A 21900-nucleotide genomic window follows, 5' to 3' on the forward strand; every position below is an offset into this window, starting at 1 on the left:
AACCTGCACGTTCTGCACATGTATCCTAGAACTTAAAGTACAATAAAAAATAAATTTAAAAAAGTCCCTTTAGATTTGAAATAGTTTTAACTATGTTACAGTTAAATGTTTAAAAAAAAACAGCCTAGAGACTGTCTCTTTCAATGTACTCTCTTCCTTAAACTTACATTTTAATGTTGAGGATTTTTTTAGGCACTGCTAATTGCCCTCCAATCATGTATGAGAAGTATAAGAAGTAGAGTTATTGTTGTAGAACAGCTTAAGTTTGAAATCACTGGGAAGGCCTTGTTTTCTGGAAAGAGAAGAAAATGGAACAATTGAGTACAAAATGTATTTGGTACAAAGTAAGTATTCCCATAGCTTCGGGAAGTAGTATGGTGCAGAGGCAAGTTCTTGGGCTTTGAAGTATGCCAGATTTGGATGTGAATTCCATCTGTGAAAATTACCAGCTGGGTGCTGGGGGCTGCATCGCCACTACTCAATGTGATAGGAGGACTGATACTTATCTGTGAGTTGGTCGTCACAGGCCTGTAATAAGAACAAAAATTGAGCAGTGTACATTTTAACACTATTGATCAAATTGTCGTTTCTATGTCATCCCACTTACAATCAGTGGATTTGTCTCACTAAACAGGGTGTAAACTAGACCAAGTGTTGCTCAACTAGCCTGATGAGTCATAAGAGGCAAGAGCTGCATTTTAGTTATACGCAGGAGGACCAAGGGATGACATGATGTTTTAAAGTTGGTTTGTGAGGTGTAATTCAATAAAAATATGATAACATGTGTGTGCTCATTTATTTTACAGAAAATTTTAAGGTTTTATCAGATATATTTTAAATGTATAGCTTACCATTATTAGCTATTTAAGTAATCAAAATTTTAACCCTAATATAGAGACAGTAAAGATTTATAATAATTTTTTTGTAAAGTTGCGACACATTTTTTTGTTCAGTAGTAGTATATGAAATTGCAATAATGAAAGTTATTTCAAAGAAGGGCTAAAAAATTTTAATGCTAATTTACATATGGTAAAAGAAGATTAACTGGACATTTTTTGTCAAAAAATGACACATCTTTTATTTCAGTAGTATATTAAATAGTGATAATGGAAGTTTTTTTAAAAAGCAAAGACCAAAAAAAAGGTCAAACTAATTTTACTCGGAAGTATTATCTCTCATATATTGATTTCATTTTGTAGCTGTAATTGGTGATGAAATGATTAAAAAGTATGTTATTTGAGGAGATGAATTGGCTGCTGAAACGATTAAAGCATCAAACTTAAGGCCAATTATATACACAACATAAAGAGATGCATTCAAAACCACAGAATTATATGAAAGAAAAAGTGTTAAAATAGAAAGCTGACAACAGATGTTCAATATTTTGAATACAAACATTAGTGCTTGGCAGAATTTATATAACATGGCACTTCATTTTCCCAAGAATAAAAACACCATGTACAATTACTGAGAAACTAATGAATGATTGTAGCAAAGGGGTTTGTCTAGAAATGTTTCTGTAGCAAAGTAGTTGACTCAAGTACCGCTCTCCAACACTATACCTTGACACATTCAAGAATTAACTAATGATAGAGAAGACTAATAGAAAAAATGAACTTACCATAGTATTTTTTTATTGTAACCTGATAAATTCATAGCCCAACAAGGTAATTATTTTAGAACTTAAGCAACTTAAACATAATATTGATATGATAAACTCTAGCTCTAAATGCTAGCTCTAAATTGTGTACAACTATAAAAAATAATATTGTCAATAAATATGACTTCACATGCAAGGTTTATGTAGATCTATGTTCTGTGGGATAGTCACTTAGTCACAGTGTTTCATCACACACACAAAAAAATCTTGCCAAAAAATTAAAAAAAAAAAAAGAGCTCGTCAGCTCTCAACTATAAGTTGGCTTATATGTGAGTTATGCAAAGGTTAACATTTTAATTTTATGATAATACGGAAAATAATTATGAGTGCGTGGTATTGCATGTAGAAGTATGATGTTTAATTGAAAAAAATATTGGATTTAGAGTGATTGAAATACGGAACAAACTCTAAGTGATTCTTAAAGATAAATTAGTTTTGTCATAGTTTTTTTTTTAAGGAAGTGAAATGGACAGCCAAAATTGCTTATTGATCTGATATGCTTGGTATTTTTAATTATCTTATTACTTTCATGCAATAAAGAAATTTAATGTATATCAATAGCAGATAAAATTGAGGGCACACACAAAAGTTAAAAATTTGAAAAAAACAGTGTTTACAGATTGTAATGACATGTTCTAAAATTTGACACCAATTGTAAATGATGTGAATGATAATCTTGATATTGCATATTTGCAAAAAGTTTGTCAATGAACATTTTTTTCATTTAATAAATCACTTTGGTTTTATTTCTACCAAAAGGAAACCTATACATAGGAAACTCATGATGCAGAATTCATGTCTTTTATAAAAAACTAATTTAAATTTATGAGATGAATTGGAACTGACTACTAATGAGACCTGAGTGAATTTTGAAAATACAGCATCACTTGTATCATTCTGGATAAAAATTAAAGACAAAAATTTTGGTCTTGCTAAAATTTTTTCCAAAAGTTTCTTCTTCTGTTTCTATCAACATACTTTTATGAGACTGGTTACTCTACTGTGAGCACTGTTCTAACAAAACACAGATATACTTAAAAATATATTATCCTATGCAAATAGTGTTGTCATCATCCAACCTAAATTAAAATTTAAAGATTAAAAATTAACATGCAGAATGCCTTTGTCATGTTAAAACCTTTAAACATTGGTATACACAGTGTTCATTCAAAGTGTATATAGGCAGTTATTATGAAGAATTTTTAACTTCAAACTGTTTAGTTTTTGTTTGTTTTTAATTTCTTAATTTCTTAGTTTACTTTAAGTCTTTACAACTTACAAACCCACACACATTCTGCAAAGAAAAACTTTTCTGATCCTTGGGTGATTTTTTCCATCACTGGGAAACTCCTTCTATCAGAAAACTCTTGTCTCCGATCAATCAGGGCTTCCTTCATTATTTTGAAACCATACAACCACAGTGGGCTTAATGCCAAAATACACAGTGAACCCAGGGCCATAATCTTTTGCTAGCATGGTTATGGATTTGCTGAGGTTCTTACTATTTAACTGTAGAATATTTCCAACAAATAGGAAAGAAGTGAGGTCATGTGGGAGCTTCCCTTTGACACAGAATCACGGGGGAAGGAGAAGGGAAACAAGCATGTCTTACACGGCTGGAGCGGAAGGAAGAGCTTGTTTAGATATAATAGAGGAATGAAAAAAACTATAAGTTCAATGGCAATTGTCTATATTAGTCATCTATACACATACTTTCAATAAACAATATAGACAGAGTTCATGATTATTTTCTTTTTCCCTGTTTTGCTTGTTCTGAATATATTCATTAAACTAATTTTGTGACTGCTGACTCTAATAAGGCAACTGGAGATTATGTAAGGCAAGTATTAAATTTTTATTCTGTTTTTTTCTGATAATTTTATTATAGTTCACAAAAATATTGTAACCAGATTGGCTGAAACCCTATGCAATGAGAAAATGGAAAACCAGAGAGGTTTAATAATGTAATGCAATGCGCCTTAAACTATTGCTGGTGAAGAGCCAGTTATTTTTACTTTCAGCTAATCAGGTAACAGATGAAAATAAAAGATGAAAGTGAATTAAAATACAATGCCTATATTCAATATGGCAATTATGACTAACAATAAAAGACCTAGGTTGAATTAAGCTAAAGATTCTCTATGCTGGTTTTTTGTTTGTTTATTTGGGGATTTTTGGCCACATTCCCATCCCCATAATGCAGATGCCTTTTTCCATAACCAATTTTTAAAGCTGGGCCAAGTAGATTACCAATAATTTCTGATATTCTGCCAGTATAACATTTAAAAAATTGCTTTTACGCATATATTCATATATCTATATCTTTTTTATATTAATTGAAAGTAATAGTGACCATTTTGAGCATTTTCTAAATAATAAATACTGTGTTAATTTTTAAAAAGTATAATCTTATTGAATTATTACATTATCCCAATAAAATGCATATGTAGTGTCACCATTTGGTAGATAAATAAACTAAGAGTCAGAGGGCTTAAGCAACTTGCTAATTGCAAAACTAAAAAAAAGGTAGAATCTGAATCCACTTTCATCTCAATATTGTTGTAATATATTTTTCAACATATTATCTTTAGCATGTGATACAGTGATGAGTACCTATTATTGCTAAGGAGATACATATTAAATAAATAATAACTCATTGAATGTGGAAATCAACAGATATGATTTGAAATAATGGAAGTTATAGTTTTGTTTATGCATTTTTGTGTTATTTTCTCAAAATTAGTTTTGCTTATAGTAGTTAAGAAATTATCAAATTACTTTATCAATTTGAAATCAATACATATAAAAACAGTTAATTGATTCATTTGATTGTTGAGTTCAATACTACATGCTAAAATATATGAATAAAGAAAAGTTGAGTTTTCTAATTTGGTCAGATGGAAATAAAAGTTTTTGCAACATTCACTTGGGAATCTTTGATCTTATAAACTGGGATAGATGATGAATATAGTAATTCTGGTCCTAATTCAGATGCCTTTTCTATACATGTCTTGAAGTCATAAACTTTATCTTTTTCATCACTGTATCCTGTACAGTGTCTAGTGTAAGGATAAATCCAAATTTAAAATAAGAAGCTTGTCTCGGCACTGTGGTTCAGTGTAATCCCAGGCTTTTGAGAGGCCAAGGCAGGAGGATTGCTTTAGGCCAGGAGTTTGAGACCAGACTGGACAACATAGGGAGACCCTATTTCTACTTAAAACAAACAAATAAATACATGAATAAGTAAAAATTGTCAACTTAATTCTCCCTGTTAAAATAAGGGAAGAGAATTATCCCTTCCCCTTTTTCTTAGAATATTTACTTTAGAAAACTTGTAATTTTAAGTACTTTATCCTCTCTTTGAAATGTATGTCAATCCTTTTGAAAAGTAGATAGACCGTTTGTCTGCTTTATGATCAAGAATGTCTTCCTCGAGCACCTGGGAGCCATTTATTTGAAATGTAATAATCAAAGAAGATAAAATTCCTATCTCTCACTTTCTATGGATGGATAGGAACCTAACTTTGATTGTTTCAAACTACAAAACTGCTTCCTATGATAAATATATGATAAGTTTATTTTTCCTGTGGATAAAGCCAGTTAGCTAACACAGATGGTCACCCTAATTACCAGGTGAAGTGAGTGTGAACTATATATGACAAATGGTGCTGTCAAGTCCTTTTACTTGAGGACGAGTTACTATCTTGAAAGCATGTATACGAGTTTTATCTATTTGACTATATAAAAGTGTAAGATTTCTTTCTGTCTTTTCAATCTCTTAGCAGATGGCCTGTGATGCCCGCCACATTCTGTATTAATGCTTATTCAATAATAAAAGTGTTTTCTTTTCTACTAACTTTGTGGAGATTATTTCTGTGTTGGGAGAAGATTTTGTTTTTACTTTTATTTCCAAAACAATAACAATATTGCTTACATATGGAGAATATTCAATAATTATTTTTGAATCAGAATAAGAAACCCCAATGTTAAAATACTTAATTTTGACTTACGTGTTCATTTGGCACATTAAAAAATAGTAATTACATATTGCAAGTGTTTGTGCATTGGTAACTCATTTACTCTGTGGTAACTAATTACTCTGCATTGGTAACTAAAGGTACTCTGTGGCCTCACTAGCTCTGTGCTCCTAAGTCAAAACAAACAGACAAAACTGACCCGGAACCACACAAACAAACACAAATGCAAGCAAAATACCATTTCTCTTCTCATAACCTATTTCTGCAAATATTTAATGCAGGGTGCTTTGTAATTCAATTTTCCAAACCATTCCTGATGTTGTAAGCTTCCAATCTTTCACCTATTTTCAAATATATGACCTCAGATCTGTCACTGATTCTGTTCCTACAGTACTGGCTGCTTCTGTCTCTCTCCATGACTACCAGTCATGCCTGCTTTTTAGATTGTGAACAAAACTTCTCTGAAAAGGAATTTGGAGGAAAGACACTTTATTCCAGTGAACAGTTTGCAAATCAGGGAGATGGGGCCTTGGAATCTTAGAACCTGTAACGTAAAATGAAGAAGTGTTCCAGAGAACAAAGAGAGTGTTAGGGTTTTGCAGCAAAAGTTCTTGCCCAAGTTCCCAATAATGCTTGTTTATGCAAGTGAAGGATTGAAACTTGCTTAATTTTGATTGGTCAGCACAGCTGGGTTTTGATTGGTTGATACAGCTCCGATTAGATGGGGTAGTGAGGCTGGTGGGTTTGTTCAGGTGATCTCTGATTGGTTGGCTTCCAGGCCCCAAACCAGAAATTTCTGGCAGATATTTCTTTCAAACTACTGGTGGGGGCTTTATGGGGGTGTGAGGCAGGGGCCGTCTTTCTGGCTACAGTTTATCTTAATCCAGACAACAGGAACTGGATTGGCTTGAGTGTAGAAAGGGAAGTCCTGTGATATTTTTACAATATCTTTCTGAGAACAAAGAGTATGTGACTGCTCCCTCACTCCAGCCATGACAACCTTATTCTGTTTTAACTTTGAGCACCTCAGATAGCCACAGGGAGTCCCCTTTACCTGTTGGCCACAGGCATAGTTTAACAAGATTGTTTTTTACTGTCATGCCACTTACCCAGTGTGATAAAGATCCATGTTAAGCCTTGGAATGTCAGTATTCTTGCAGTTTCCCACCAAAATTTCCGAAAAAAATCAGAACAGCATTTTCAATAATAATTATAATCTTATTTTAGGAAATTGAAGCTTAAATTTAAGGTCATTAAATTACTGAGTAGCAAAACTACAACTAGAGAGCAGGTTTATAGAAGTACACTTAATTCCTTAATTCATTTGCATTTCAGTTAACTGGAAGGCATAATGTGGTTTGCAGAAACTGACAAATATTTAGATTAAATATATATACCCTTCTAAATAGAACCTGAACCAACTATTTCCTAAATGGCTTATTTTCATTTAAAAACCCTGTCAAGTCCTTAATAACAAAACTGAATAAAATAAAAACAAAATCACCTGTAGGTGCAAGTAAAAAATCAAAACATTAACTACAAGGAAAACATCAAAATTTGTATTAATTGAAAATACCAGGCCGGATGCATGCAGTGGCTCATGCCTGTAACCCCAACACTTTGGGAGGCCAAGGCAGGTGGATCACATGAGGTCGGGAGTTCCAGACCAGACTGGCCAACATGGTGAAACCCTGTCTCTAATCATAATACAAAAATTAGCTGGGCATGATGGTGCGTACCTGTAATCGCAGCTACTTAAGAGGCTGAGGCAGGAGAATTGCTTGAACCTGGGAGGCGGAGGTTGCAGTGAGCGAGATCATGCCGCTGCACTCCAGCCTGGATGACAAGAGAGAAACTCCCCCTCAAACAAGAAAAAAAAGAAGAAAGAAAGAAAGAAACTACCTGTTTCTAGCTTCCTCTCACTCCCAAAAGGTTTGTTGTAAGCATTGGAATATTTTATTTCTACTATTAGTAGAGAGGGGCGGCCCCCAGTTTAAAAAATAGACCTTAACTATTATTATCTCAGGTTTTTAGATTTCTTGGGGAGGCTTTGTTTTTCTTTTTCTTTTTTTTTTTGAGGTAATTAGCATAGAATGCTGATTCATTTATTTTGGCTAAATTAAGATGTTAAAAATATTTTTAAAATCTCTCTCTTTTAAAATCTCTCTCCTATCATTGTAATTATTTAAAAGACACTTCTACCACACATGCAAAGAGTCAAATAAATGCAAAGCACTACTGAAGTAATGAATGATATTAGGGATAATTTACTGCAGTTTGAAAATTTAGGTGGCTTGAATGCAAGAATTTAGTGCTTATTTCGTTTTAAAGGTAGGAGGTTTTCTTTTCTATTCTGTTTATAATAGGATTGAATGTGACCTTTCTTGTTGTGGGCAACAACCTACACCAGTGCTATAGCTGGGAGTGTAATTGTTAGGAAATCAATGCAATGAGACAAAAACATCCACTTGATAAACATGGGAAGACAAGAATTTATTTTTCTCTAGTGGGTAGGTGTATGAGAAATATAAAGTCATTGTGAGAATAATAAAATGAATCCAAATTATAACATTATTTTTTATGTTATGGAATAATTTGTGCATTGTTATTTTAAATAAGTTTAATGATTAATAAAAATTATCACAACAAAGCGTCAAGAAAATACATCTTTGATTTTAACTTAAAATCTCTAACTCTGTAGGTGATTTAAACTTGTGATTTTTATATTTAAATCTTTCTAAATTTATAAAAAGCATTAAACCATTTAAGAAAACCTCATTAGCTTACTTTTAAGTTTAATGTAATTAACTTACAAGACTTACTTTAGTGCTTGGGAAGAGGTAGTTTGGTAGTCAAACTATTTAAATAATTAAAAAGAAATTCAATACATTGAATTTATAACTTTATTTTAAAATGTTAATTGAGTTTAGTTAATTAAGTATCAGAATGGGACCAAACATTTGAATATTAAAATTCCCTGGATGCAGAAGTAGAGTAATTCAATTTCTAAGTTAAACATTTCACAAAATTATTAGATTAAAATTTTAATTTACAGATAGAATGGGATTTTAAAGTACACATCCAACTACTCTTCTCTGTGCACAAAACCTACTTTGAGTGCATAAGACAACACACATTGACCTCATTTACAGCAGCTGTGGTTGTAGCAGTTTCCTTGTTCCCACTAGTCTCAATCCAAGACAGATCATTTTACCTATTCAACATTCTCCATAAGAAATTCAGTCAAATTCAGCCATTAGTGATTTTAGTAACAAAAATAGGTCTTATTGTTTACTGTTCTGCCTTTTGTTTTTCTTCTACTCCCCACTGGTTTTATGGTCTTTATTTGGTTGTTTCTCTGGCTGATACCACTGTCCCATCACCTTCCTGTCATACACATGATGCTAACAATCAAAAACCTTGCTTCTTTGTATTCTATCATGGATATTTTTACACTGGCATTATTTTGTTTGTTTTTAAAATTTTTATTGATACATACTAGTTGAATGGCATTACTTGTATTGGCTCACTACATGGATCACTAAGACGTTAGTAATTTGATGAATCATAATATTTCATTTTATGTTGGGAATATGGAGCAGAAGTTTGCATTAATCATACTTCTCACTTTGAGGCAAATTACCATCACTGGTCCTTGCAAGGTCCCTTCTGGGTTTGGTTTGTTAGCTCGGTTTTCTTTTATTCATTTATTTGGATTTATCCCTGTTTCCCACTCCCTTCCTCTCACCACCACCTTAGCTATAGACAACTATTATATATTCTAAGATGTCTTGTATTGTTTGTATATGCTATTGTAAAATGTATATTACTGTTATAAATGCGTATGCATATGATTTATATATCTATAATATAGTGAGTTATAGTAATGTATGTTTGTGTGTATGTGTATATATATATCCAAAAATAGGTCATTCTGTTTCTTACTTTTCTCACTAAGCCCTAGGTTTGAAAGTCCAACCAAGTTGTTAAGTATTATTCTGTGTATATACATATACCTTTTGCTTCTGACTACTGCATAATGTTTCAATGTGCACATGCAGCCCATTTTGCCTACCCCTTCACCTACCGATAGACATCCAGGTTGCCTCCAATTTCCCACTTCCGTAAATACTGCAGTAAGGACCACCTTCATGTTTGTCCCTTATAAAACGTTGGTAGGAATTTCTCTAGGCTACATATACCTTGGAACAGAATTTCTGGGCCATAGAAGAGCATATAATGAACTTGACCGAGTGTACCAAATTGCTGTGCAGAATGACTCAACCAGTCCATACTCCCCAAAACAGTGTCAGTACATGAGAGTTCCTGCATTAGCAAATACCAACTAATGTCTGACATTATAAAGTGTTCTATTTTTGGTAGACAAATAGGTACAGAGCAGTATCTCAGTAATTTCATTTGCATTTTACCGGGTATTAATTATTTTGAGGACCACATTATGTCATCTTTAGTTTTTTGAGTTTCCTTTTTTGAAGAATAATTGTTCATAAAATTTGCAAATATGCTTTCTTCATTCATTCATTTATTTCTTGACTTTGTTAAGAGGCTTTTCAATGAACAAAAAGCATTTCTTATGTCATCACATTTATTGACATCACTTGGAATTCAAACTTTTAATGTTTTATTTGAGAATCTTTTTTCTGTGTTTGAATAAAATATTCTGTTTTTTTTCAATTACCTATTAGGTTTATCTTTCATATTTATACTTTTAATCTAACAAGACATTAACATTTTGTAATGTTAAGGAAAGATCCAATTTTATCTTAGGAAGTGTGACACTTTCCAATACTATTTATATGCCATCTATCATTTCCAATGATATTTGATGTAGTTTTTATAATATGTTAAATCCTGTGTTTACTTGGTTCTGTTTCTGTTCTCTCATTTTGTTGGTTTAATTTTTTTATCTTCTTGTGGCTATTCCAAATTATTTTTTATTACTAATGGTGGTTTTGTTGTCGCATATTTTAATATTCAAAAAAAAGGGATAACCCCTCTTTGCTCTTTTTTCCTAAGGTTGATTTAGCTATTCATAAAATTTTTCTGCACATAAATTTAGAATACATTTCCCCCCTCAAAAAAATAAACTGAAATATTGGCTTTGGCTTTAATTTTGTTTAGATATTAACTTGAGGAGAAATAGCAGCTACATTATTAAATATTATATTACAATTACCTTTTTATTCTAATCATTCTCTACATCTTTCTTTCTTTCTTTCTTTCTTTCTTTTTTTTTTTTGAGACGGAGTTCCGCTCTTGTTGCTCAGGCAATATGCAATGGCACAATCTTGGCTCACTGCAACCTCTGCCTCCCAGGTTCAAGCGATTCTTCCGCCTCAGCCTCCCAAGTAGCTGGGATTACAGGCACCACCATCATGCCCGGCTAATTTTTTTTTTTTTTTTTTGTATTTTTGTAGAGATGGGGTTTCACCACGTTGGCCAGGCTGGTCTTGAACTCCTGACCTCAGGTGATCTGCCCGCCTTGGCCTCCCAAAGTGCTGGGATTACAGGCGTGAGCCACCGTGCCAGGCCAACATCTTTCATTTTAGTATTAAAAGTTTATCCATAGCCCAGCCAACTTGGAAATCTTATTTGGATTATTTTATAAATTGGTTGATAATATAAATAAAATCTTATTTTTAAAATACATATTCTAGATGGATTGTTGGTGGTATTAAAATATGTAATGATTTAATGAAGTTTTTTGGTCTATCTTGTGTCTGGAAAAATTGTCTTTTATTTCATAATAGTTCCTGTGTTGATCCTACTAGCTCTTCCAGACAGATGATTTTATCATCTGCACATAATGGCAATTGTAGCTGGTTCTATTTCTTACTCTTGTTTTTATTCTATTATCGTGTTGGCCAGAGCCAACTGCATCTGTAGATATAAAGACAGCACAGAACTATATTAAATTACAGCATCCTTATCTGGTCACTATCTTAAAAAGAATGCATTTAACGATTTCAGTATGAGATTGTGGATTTCATGCCATGGTTTCTAGTGAAGGAGCATGAGAAACTAAAAAGGATAGGTCATGCCAATGAAGAGAAGGGAGAGGCTGGTGGTGCAAAGAGCCATTAAATTACAAAATTGGGGCATTGCACGAATTTGAAAAAGTTGCTGTTTTGAAAAAATGGTAGAACAAAAGAATGTTATACAGAACAATGGTGCTGCTTTAGCTCCTTGACATAGGGTTTAAAGTGATAGTCTTATTTTAGTATTCAAGTAGATATTTTCTGGACTTGTATTACTCACTTTGTTAATTATCAACTTGGATCATTAAAGTTATTCATTTAATGACATCTTAGAATATTTGCAAAGTTCTTAACAGCATATATGACATCCGTCTGATAATAAAAACATAAATGTATTGTAGAATAGTTAGAAAATTAGATATATATTTCAAATTTCCCCAATCTTATTGTTGAAACAGAACCATGTTACTTAGCAATTTTCTAGTTCCAGGTGACAGAAACCTGTCACCAAGAAGTTGAACTTAAAGAAGAAAAAAGAAATATGTGTTCTCATTAACAGGCTGGTGATAACTTTAGACATTGCCTGACCTAAGATTTCAAAGTCTTCCTTTAGTGAACTATCTGATTGTTTTTCTCCATTTCTAACATCTAATTCAGTGTGGGCTGAATCTTGTAGCCTTTCATTAGTCCTACGAAGACAATTTCAGTCCCCAAACAAAGAGGAAGTCAGTTTTACGAAGGGGCTATTATCATCATTGCTTCAGAGTTAAGCAGAAACTAAATTATTCCCATGGTTAGCTTGGCCTATGCCCAGGAGTGAATGAGGCTGGAAGCAAGATGGAGTCAGCCATGCTAGATTTCCCTCACTGTCATAATCTCTGCAAAGGTAAATTCTTGCATGGTTATCTTCACATGTCATGAACCATACATATATTGTGGCCCTCAGTCCATATATGATACATAGATATGTACCCATTTTTTCACTAAGTGTTGGGTCCTGTAAGAAATACTTAGTGACTGAGGGCAGAAAGGAGAGCTGGATTAGGTTCACATAAAGCACAGAGAATGGAGTTCCTTTAGGTCATGAAGATTCTATCATTAGACAAAGGTTGAGAAAGAGTACCAGAAAGATGGAGAAAAAATTTGATATTAAATTTTTTTAGCATTTTGTTGCATTTCTTTCTGAAAATGTATATTACGTGTGTTAAATAGAATTATTTTAATTTTAATGTTTGCATTTTTGTAGCTTCTTTGTGATATCTTCATTCTTTTTTTTTTTTTTTTTTGTATTCCTGGAGATTGTAATTTTCTGCTGCTAGACTTGTATGGGCCCTTTATAACAGGGGTCTCAACCCCCAGGCCATGCGGACCTGTACCAGTCTGTGGCCTGTTAGGAACCAGGCCACACAGCAGGTGGTGAGCAGTGGGCAAGTAAGCATTACCATCCGAGCTCCACCTCCTGTCAGTTCAGTGGCTACATTAGATTCTTACAGGAGTGCAAACCCTATTGTGAACTGCACATGCAAAGGATTTAGGGGATTTAGGTTGCTCTCCTTACAAGATTCTAACGCCTGATGATCTGAGGTGGAACGGTTTCATCCCCCACCTTTCCCCCCGCCCCACCCCTGTCTGAGGAAAAATTGTCTTTCACAAAACCGGTCCCTGGTGCCAAAAAAGTTTGGGGCCTGCTGCTTATAAGACTAATCCTGTGAGACTAACCCAGTGAGTTCATCTTGCCCACCGCCCAGAAAAGCCAATTCAATGAGAACAGTAGGGTTTTGCAACAAAGAAGGAGTTTAATAACTGCAGGACAGGCCAATTGGAAGAAGGGGAGTTAATTCTCAAGTTTGTCTCCTCAAGAGCTTGCAGGCTAGAGTTTTTAAGGTTAATTTGGTGGGCAAGAGGATGGGGAATGGGCACTTCTGATTGGTTGGGTATGAAATCGTAGAAGTGTCCAAACTGTCTTTGAGTGCTGAGTCTGTTTCTGGGTGGGAATCACAGGTTGAGTCAGTTCCTTGGTATGACTCACATGTCCAGGTGGAGTCAGTAGGTCATCAGAATGCAAAAGTCTGAAAAATATCCCAAAGACCAATCTGAAGTTTTGACAATAGTGATGTCATCTATAGGAGAAATTAGAGAAGTTATAAATCTTCTTTATAAATGATCTCTAGCTTCATGACTCCTGAGCAGTGAGAGCTGATAGAAAAGCAAGCTAGAGAACAATGGCTGGTTACTTTTAACTAGGCCTACATCAAGCAGAATTCAAGCCTCTCCCAAAATCCTAGTCTTGTGGCCTTTCATTAATCTTACAAAGACAGGAAAAGAGGGCTCAGTTTTACAGAGGGGCTATTAGCATCATTGCTTTGAAGTTAAATTAGAAACTAAATTATTCCCATGGTTAGCATGGCATATGCCCAGGAGTGAATGAGGATAGCCAGCCTGTGAGGCTAGAAGCAAGATGGAATCAGCCATGCTAGATTTCCCCCATTGTCATAATCTTTGTAACGGTGGTTTCAACCTTGTTAAATCTCACTCAGATACCGAAAAAGTGCTTGAATATGCTCTTACTCATTTCTTTATGAACCATCTTTTATTAAACATTCATAGGTAGAACATTCTAGACATGTAAATGACCATAAAATACATATTCAAAAAACAATATTCTGCCAAATGCTTTATATTTTCTTGATTTATGATGGGTCTGTATGTTTCAGCTCTACCATTGTCCTTCAAAATTATTAAAATCCCTTTCACTAAATAATACTAATGTGATTTCCTTGTCTTTGTAGTACAAAATTCAAATTTGAACATTGGTCAGCTTTGAGGTAATTCGCTAATTGAGTCTGTAAGGTTGATGTTGTGCAGTGCCTGGCTATGGGAATCTTATCATAGTTTGATGTTTCCAAGTTTTATAAACCATGGAAAGAGTAAATGGCATTTTTAGAAGCCCAAGTACTTAAAAAGCTGAAGAAAATATTAGACAATTTAAATGTCATTAACTTTCAGTTTGAATTTTTGATGTTATGAAAAACTTCATCTTCTTAAAATTACTTGGCTATCCTCTTGATTTTTACATCTCATATTTCCTCAGTGTTGTTAAGATAATTACATAGGTATAGATAAATGTATACAAATGCTCATAGCATACTAAACTCGTGCTAATATTTTATAAGACCAGTAGTTGATTTTTGCTATGTCATATAATTATACTTACGGTACTGTGGGTAAAATAAAAAGGTAGAAATTAAAGATGGTAGAATCACATGCCATCTTTGAAAAACATGAATGCATTTTAAAGTGGTTACAGAAATCAGAAAATATAAAAACCTCTTCCAATTTGTCTTCTAGATCTTCTGATTTAACCTCTTTAGATTGCCGTCATTAAACTATTCAAGAAAACAAACCTCTGACACTGGTGGCAGTAAGGAAGCAGTACAATGAATGAGCTTATATAGTTATTTCATCAGAAATAGGCACAGATTAAAAAAACTGATGAGTATATTTTGAATTTTTCTTCTATAACATATTTTATGTTATTAACATTTGATTTTTCTAATATATTGAACATTGATTAGGTGTATATACTGTAAGTATATTATGTATGGAATTAATTAGGCTTTATTATGAGATACATTTATTACTCTTTTTCTTTACTAAATTAATGGCTTATATTAGATCGTTTTGCTGCCTAGACCAGCTGATAGATTTTAGCTTAATATTGCTCACAGAAATCTTATGATTCTAAGCAGTATTACGTAAATTCTACTATGTCAGTGATAGTTCACTATCTCTTCATTTTCATTCTAAAAAATAAATTATTAATTGGAAGCTTTTAGCAATCTGAGCTTAACTTGAACAAATAAATAAATTTGTTTTGCCTGTAAGGATAAACAAGAAGGAGAAATTATTGGAAGGACTGCACTAACTCCCAGAAATGCAGGAAAACCTTTAGATATGACTGCATTTCTAGAGATCACAGGACTAAAAATTCAGCAATTAATGACTGTTAAAACAGTGTATCTATTAAAAGCCCTGTTTGCAGTTAATTTACATGCTCCTGTGGTTATTGTTGCTTACATTTCTTGATTTGCTACCTCCTTCCCCTCTTCTCATTGGATTATGAAATCTCTCTGATCACAGATGTTTTCCATCTCAACTATAGACATAATAATTTGGATGTATAGTTGAGTCAAATAGTGTAGAACTTACCTAATTCTTAGTTGTGACGTTGTAAAATGCATTTCTTATTATGCTAGACATAATAATAGAAGTGTCAAAATTTAGCTTAAGAATTTTATAATTCTAGTGTTGATGACTCCAAATCTTTAAGCTAATTAGTTTGTTGCCAGAAACAAGCAAACAAACAGCAAGTCAAGCTGCAATTAGTTGAAAATATCTCTATTGGTATCTGTAGCTGTGCTGCAACTGCGTGCTCAACTATAACATAAGGCCAACCATTTCTCTCCCTGAAGTCATCATGCCACCCTTTTGTAGAATACAAGGTTGTCTTTCTTTTTGTTGTCTCAGTACCTGTTCTTAAACATTTCCAAGTAAGAAAATGTCTTTAATAAACCACTATTTCATTAATAAGTATATTCATTCACCTCTACTAAATATTGCACCTGCTAAATTAAAATACTTTTATCTCATATTCAATTTATCACATTTTCTTATCACCAATGAATGCTCAGTTTATTATGGTGATAAATATGAATATTGGAGATACAAGAGGAGTTTTGCTATTTTTTACCTAGAGGAATTTTCTAGAAGGTGGGGAGATGTCATAAATTGAGTTAACATAAAAGAGAGAATGTGTGTATATTTGGCTTTCTTCCTTCCTTTATTTGCAGTAAAATCCTGAAATGTTTTCCTATGTCACTATATTAAGAGGATAAAAACAAAATAATTTTTCAAAATCATCCTTAGGTTCAAAAGGAAAAAAGGGAACAGAGTTTGAGGAGAGGTTATTTAGAGTATGGTGGTGACTGTGAGAATCAACATAAGAGAAATCCATGGAGAAGAGAGAAATTCCAGAGATGTGAAAACCACATGAAAAGCTGTTTTCCTCTCACTAGCCTTTCAGATGAAAGCTCTTGTCTATTCCGGAAACTTTTCTTATATATTTTTTTTCCTAGCTGACTTGTGTCCCCACATTGGTAGGTATTAGCAATTTTTAAATATTCCTTAATACAGATGACTAGATTTACATGATAATTTGCTATCTTTCTCCAATATATCCACCACTGGTTAGCCAGGGATCCTTTGGGTCCCACAACTGGGCTATCCTTTGCCTTTCTTTCTTTCTTTTTTTTTTTTTTTGATACAAGTTCTCACTCTGTAACCCAGGCTGGATAGCAGTGACATAAAAACGGCTCACTGCAGCCTTGACCTCCTGGATCAAGAAATCCTCTCACTCCAGGCTCCCAAGTAGCTAGGACTACAGACACACACCACCACACCTGGCTAATTTTTAAATTTTTTTGTAGAGACAGGAGTCTCACTTTATTGTTCAGGCTGGTCTCAAATTCCTGGGCTCAAGTGATCCTCCAGCCTTGGCCTCCCAAAGTGCTGGGATTACAGGTATGAGCCACTGCACCCAGCTCCTTTGACTTTCGAAGGCTTCCGTGGATTTTGATTATCTAGTAGGGAGTGAGCATTGTATGAGGATGCAAGAGATAGCTTACAATCACAAACACATTACTGTAACAATGATTCAGTCTACTTTATTATTTACTACCAAAGTTTCTTTGATTTATTGTAAGAGAGAGAATGGACCTTTGAATGCAAAATATAATATTTAAGAAGAATTTTACAGATCAGCTAAAGTCCATATTACAGATGAAGAGTTTGAGGCTCAAAAAGACTCATTGTCTTGCCTAAGATGATACGGTGAGGTACGAAGAGAACCAATGTTATCCAGTGCTAAATTTCAGATCACCTAATTATATATTCATGGCTCTTTTTATAACTGCCTCCCACTGTTAGTCTTACAAGTAATGCCAGAAATGGGGAGACAGAATTTTTGGTTCCCAGAGGTAACAGGAAACTTGAGGAGAGCTGTATAAGAGAGAACTGAAATTCTGACAGACGTTCTTGTTTGAACTCACCCATAACTTTTATTAAATAGATTATCAGAAGGATTCTTCTCCAAAACACATTACTTAAAAGAAGGAGGAGGAGTGCTGTTCAAATAACCTTTGCTTACTGCATGGTGAAGCAGTGACTTAAACCAAATAAAATTTTTACATCCTTGACAGGTATTTAGAAATGGGAAGAAATATTTAAAGATTATTGGAACTAAGTGAATTGTGTGCCTTTTATTGTTGCTGTTTTTCTGATAATTTTCAAACAAAGTCTACCTTGCCTATCCTAGGAGCCTTATTTTGAGAATAGTTCACATATATTGAGTATACAGGAAAAAAAAAAAAGTGAGCAAAATGTCATGCAAAAATTGATAGTTTATTTTCTATATCATCTTATTTGTGGGTGAGATGCACATGAGAGGTCACCAAAACAGAGTCAAGATCAGTAAGTCTGTAAATTTTAATTGTTTTTTTATATTGCCAAATAATCTTGTTTGTATAGTCATTTGAAGTGAAAAGTATAAACTGCACATTTTTAGGAAGGTAATAATTTGTCTTTACCTAGAATTTTTTTGCCACAAGCTTTTTGTTTTTAACATATTGAGTTTAGTAATGTGATAAGTTAAACTTATTTCTAATTGCAGTAACATTATATGCATTATTTGGACCTTATTTTTCATTAGCAAGAAATAAAATGAGCATATTTCTTGATTAAAGATGGCAAATACAATCTCATCAACATTTTCTTTATTTTTCCATATTTTGTGCTATTCCTTATAAACTCTACTCTGTGCCTATAAATATTTTTATTTAATATACGGAGACTCTGCTTCTTTGACTTTTAGTCAAGTCCAAAATATTGACTTAAGAAGAGTTTCAGAGATTTCGTTAGAAAATTCTGAAGACGAGTAAGAAACTAAAAATTTTGTTTTAAAGCAAGAATATGGACAGGATTTTCCTAGATTCTTTATATACAGTATTTCAACAAATTAAAAATAAAACTCCCTGGGAAGGATCTATCTTCATTTGTCGAAATTCAACAAATGACAGGTCCTTGGTAGTAAGTAGCTATGCTGGAATGTAAATGCATATATATATGTGATCACAAGGTCTACAATACTCCCATTTTAGAATTATCTAGTGTGTAACTAACATGTAATACATTTAACATAGAAAATGAGTTTTCATATTCCAATAAGATTGAGTTAGAATTATCAAAGTTATAGGAGTCTCTTTACTGCAGGCCTTCTCAGAGTATTTACTACACTTATGGTCCAAGCTAATGTATTTTCAGGCTCCAGGTGTGCACTATTTTCTAAATGTATTTTTCCTCCAGAACTCTAGTGGGGAATGTTTTGTAATATATTTTAGAAAATACACTTGGAAAATATATTTTAGAAAATACACTTGAAAAACTATGCAAGAGAACAGGTTGCCCCAGTGATTATAGACACTGAAGCAATGAGAGTTTTCTGAATGGTTGTTTAGAAATTGCAAATCTCATGTGCTGTGCATTTGTGTACATAACCATGTATTATGGAACATTCCTCTTAAAAACTTGTTTTTGAGCTATGGGGAAAAGTTGCGCTAAACCTACTTGTTTGCTTCTTAGATACTATGAGCTATATTTGATGGCATAGGCTAAAGAGGGAAGCAATCATTTTAAAATTATTGACCAAGGTCATCGTATTATGTCTTAACTTAAACTAAGATAATAAAGTCTAACCAAAAGTCATAGATCTAACGAATATGGGGTTAAAAAGTAGTCGTAATACTAAAATCAAAATTATAAATGTCAATTCCAGCAAGGAATAATCATTAAAAGAAAATCTCCACTAATTATTATCTATGGCATTGCCTTATATGTGCTCAGATGTGTGTATTTCATGTTCTTCAACTAAAATTGTTTTATTCTACATCTCCATGAATGCTTCTGGTATTGCTGCAGATAATGGTGCTTATGAGGATGCTCTTGGGCACAGATGTTCTCATCCTCTGGTAATACTTCACACATCCTCAGAGTCCCTTATAGACTATCTCTCTGGGTAAGTCTCAGACTACCTTTATGGTACGTGCCAGCTGGACTCTAACCAACAGGTTGCTAGACTTATTTCCACATTTAAATATCAGTACAAAAAGGAGTATATCCCCTTTTTCCTAGATGGATGTTGCCTACACCATCTTCATTTACTGCCTCATATTGTCCACTTGCCAATTGACAGTGAAAGCATCTCTTCATGAGAGATATTACATGTGGTATTGTGTCTGGAATTGGTTCCCCATCTTCTGGAAGAAAAGTGGCAGGGTTGAGGGCCATGCACATACATATTTGAAGCACCGGTCCCTCAAGGAGTAGTGTCTGGTGTCTAAGTAGGCAGTTTGTCCGATAGCCATAAACTTCCTTTGGAACCTAGTATGTCATTTACATCATGAGTAGTCCAGACAGTGAGATCCTTTCCTTGTATTATTTCGATAGCCTCTGACACTAAGACGGCCACCACCGCAACTACCCTTAAGCAGTGAGGCTAGCCTTTTGCTACTACATCAATTTCCTTACTTAGGTATGCCCCTGGTTGTGGGGTTGTCCCATGAGTCTGAGTAAGGACTCCAAGGGCTATCCCTGCTCTATCTGTGATGTATAAAGAGAAGTTTTGTCCTGTGGGAAGGCTTAAAGCTGGAGCTTGTACTAGGGCCTGCTTTAAGATTTTGAAGGCTGTTTCTGCCCCTGGTTCCCATTCTACTAGATGAATATTTGCCCTCTGGGTTTCCTTGACTAGAGTGTAGAGGGGCCTGGCTATCTCGCTGTATCTGGGCAAAAGCCGGTGGTTCCCAGGAACCCCCGCAACTGTTTTAATGTCTTAGGGTGAGGATAAGCCAGTATAGGCTGTATTCATCCCTTGCTGAGGGCCCTGGTCCCTCTGGCTAAGATTAGGCCTAGATATTTGACCTGCTATAGGCAAAGCTGGGCCTTCGACCTAGATGCCTTGTACCGTTGATTAGCTAGAAAGTTCAAGAGAACTAGAGTAGCCTGCTGGCATGAGGCTTCCAAACTGGTAGCCAAAAGTAAATCATCCACATACTGAAGGACCAGAGTGCCTGGACTTGAGAAGTGGCCTAGATCTTGGGCCAGTGCCTGACCAAACAGATGAGGGCTATCCCTAAACCCTTGGGGCAAGACCATCCACGTAAATTGGGACGTGTGGTCTGTGGGATCCTGAAAGGCAAAGAGAAACTGGGAGTCAGAATGCAGGGGAATATAGAAGAAGACATCCTTGAGGTCCAGAACTGTGAACCATTCTGCTTCCTCTGGTATTTGGGAGAGCAGGGTATAGGGGTTGGGCACAACTAGATATAGAGGAATTACTGCCTCATTGATGAGTCTAAGATCTTGCACTAGTCTCCACTGACCGTTTGTTTTTTGTACTCTTAGAATTGGGGTGTTGCAGGGACTGCGCATTTCCTTACTAAGCCTTGAGCTTTTAAATATTTAACAATATCCTGTAATCCTTTATAAGCTTCAGGCCTTAAGGGATGTGGCCTTTCATAAGGAAAAGTAGTGGGGTCTTTTAGCCTGATTTGGACTGGGTGGGCATTTTTTGCCCTTCCAAATTGTCTTTCCAATACCCAGACTTCAGGATTGATTCCCTCCTCAAGTAGGGGACAGCAAATGGGTAACTTGTTGCCCATATTCATGTAAATAATAGCTCCAGCTTTGGCTAATATATCCCTCCCTAATAAGGGTGTGGGACTTTCAGGCATAACAAGAAAGCCATGTGAAAAGAGCAAAATCTCCCAATTACAACTGAGGAGGTGGGAGAAATACCTGGTTACAGGCTGTCCCAGGATTCCTTGGATGGTAACAGACCTTGAGGACAGTTGTCTGGGACAGGAAATTAACACTGAGAAGGCTGCTCCAGTGTCCAGGAGGAAGTCAATTTCCTGGCCCTCAATGGTTTTAATGTACCTGGGGCTCAGTGAGGGTGATGACATGAGTTGGCACTTGCCCTGGGCACCCTCAGTCCTGTTGGTGGATCATCTGGTTAGGGGCTTCTGGCCCAGAGAACCTTTGTCCTCTGGGGCAGTGCACCTTCCAGTGATTACCTCAAGATAGTGGACATGGACAAGAGGGTGGCTTGTTTCACACTGGACAATCTTTTTTAAAGTGTCACTGTAAACCATAC

General features: G+C 34.6%; 1 long non-coding RNA gene and 1 pseudogene across 1 annotated transcript in view, besides 1 other annotated feature; one reads left to right on the forward strand and one right to left on the reverse strand.

Moving 5' to 3' along the window:
- The window catches only part of LOC107984239 (uncharacterized), a 44561-nt gene that overhangs the window by 10823 nt on the left and 11838 nt on the right, over window positions 1–21900 (forward strand). The window lies entirely within an intron of this gene.
- Window positions 2966–3260: a silencer, noted in NCBI's record as "tiled region #14987; HepG2 Repressive non-DNase unmatched - State 24:Quies". NCBI's record gives its function as "represses a minimal TATA promoter and a strong SV40 promoter by Sharpr-MPRA in HepG2 cells {active_cell/tissue: HepG2}" and the evidence as "EXISTENCE:reporter gene assay evidence [ECO:0000049][PMID:27701403]".
- Window positions 2977–3266, reverse strand: CYP2C61P (cytochrome P450 family 2 subfamily C member 61, pseudogene; annotated as a pseudogene).

This window comes from Homo sapiens, chromosome 10 (assembly GCF_000001405.40).
Source record: "Homo sapiens chromosome 10, GRCh38.p14 Primary Assembly".
Classification (NCBI taxonomy): Eukaryota; Metazoa; Chordata; class Mammalia; order Primates; family Hominidae; genus Homo; species Homo sapiens.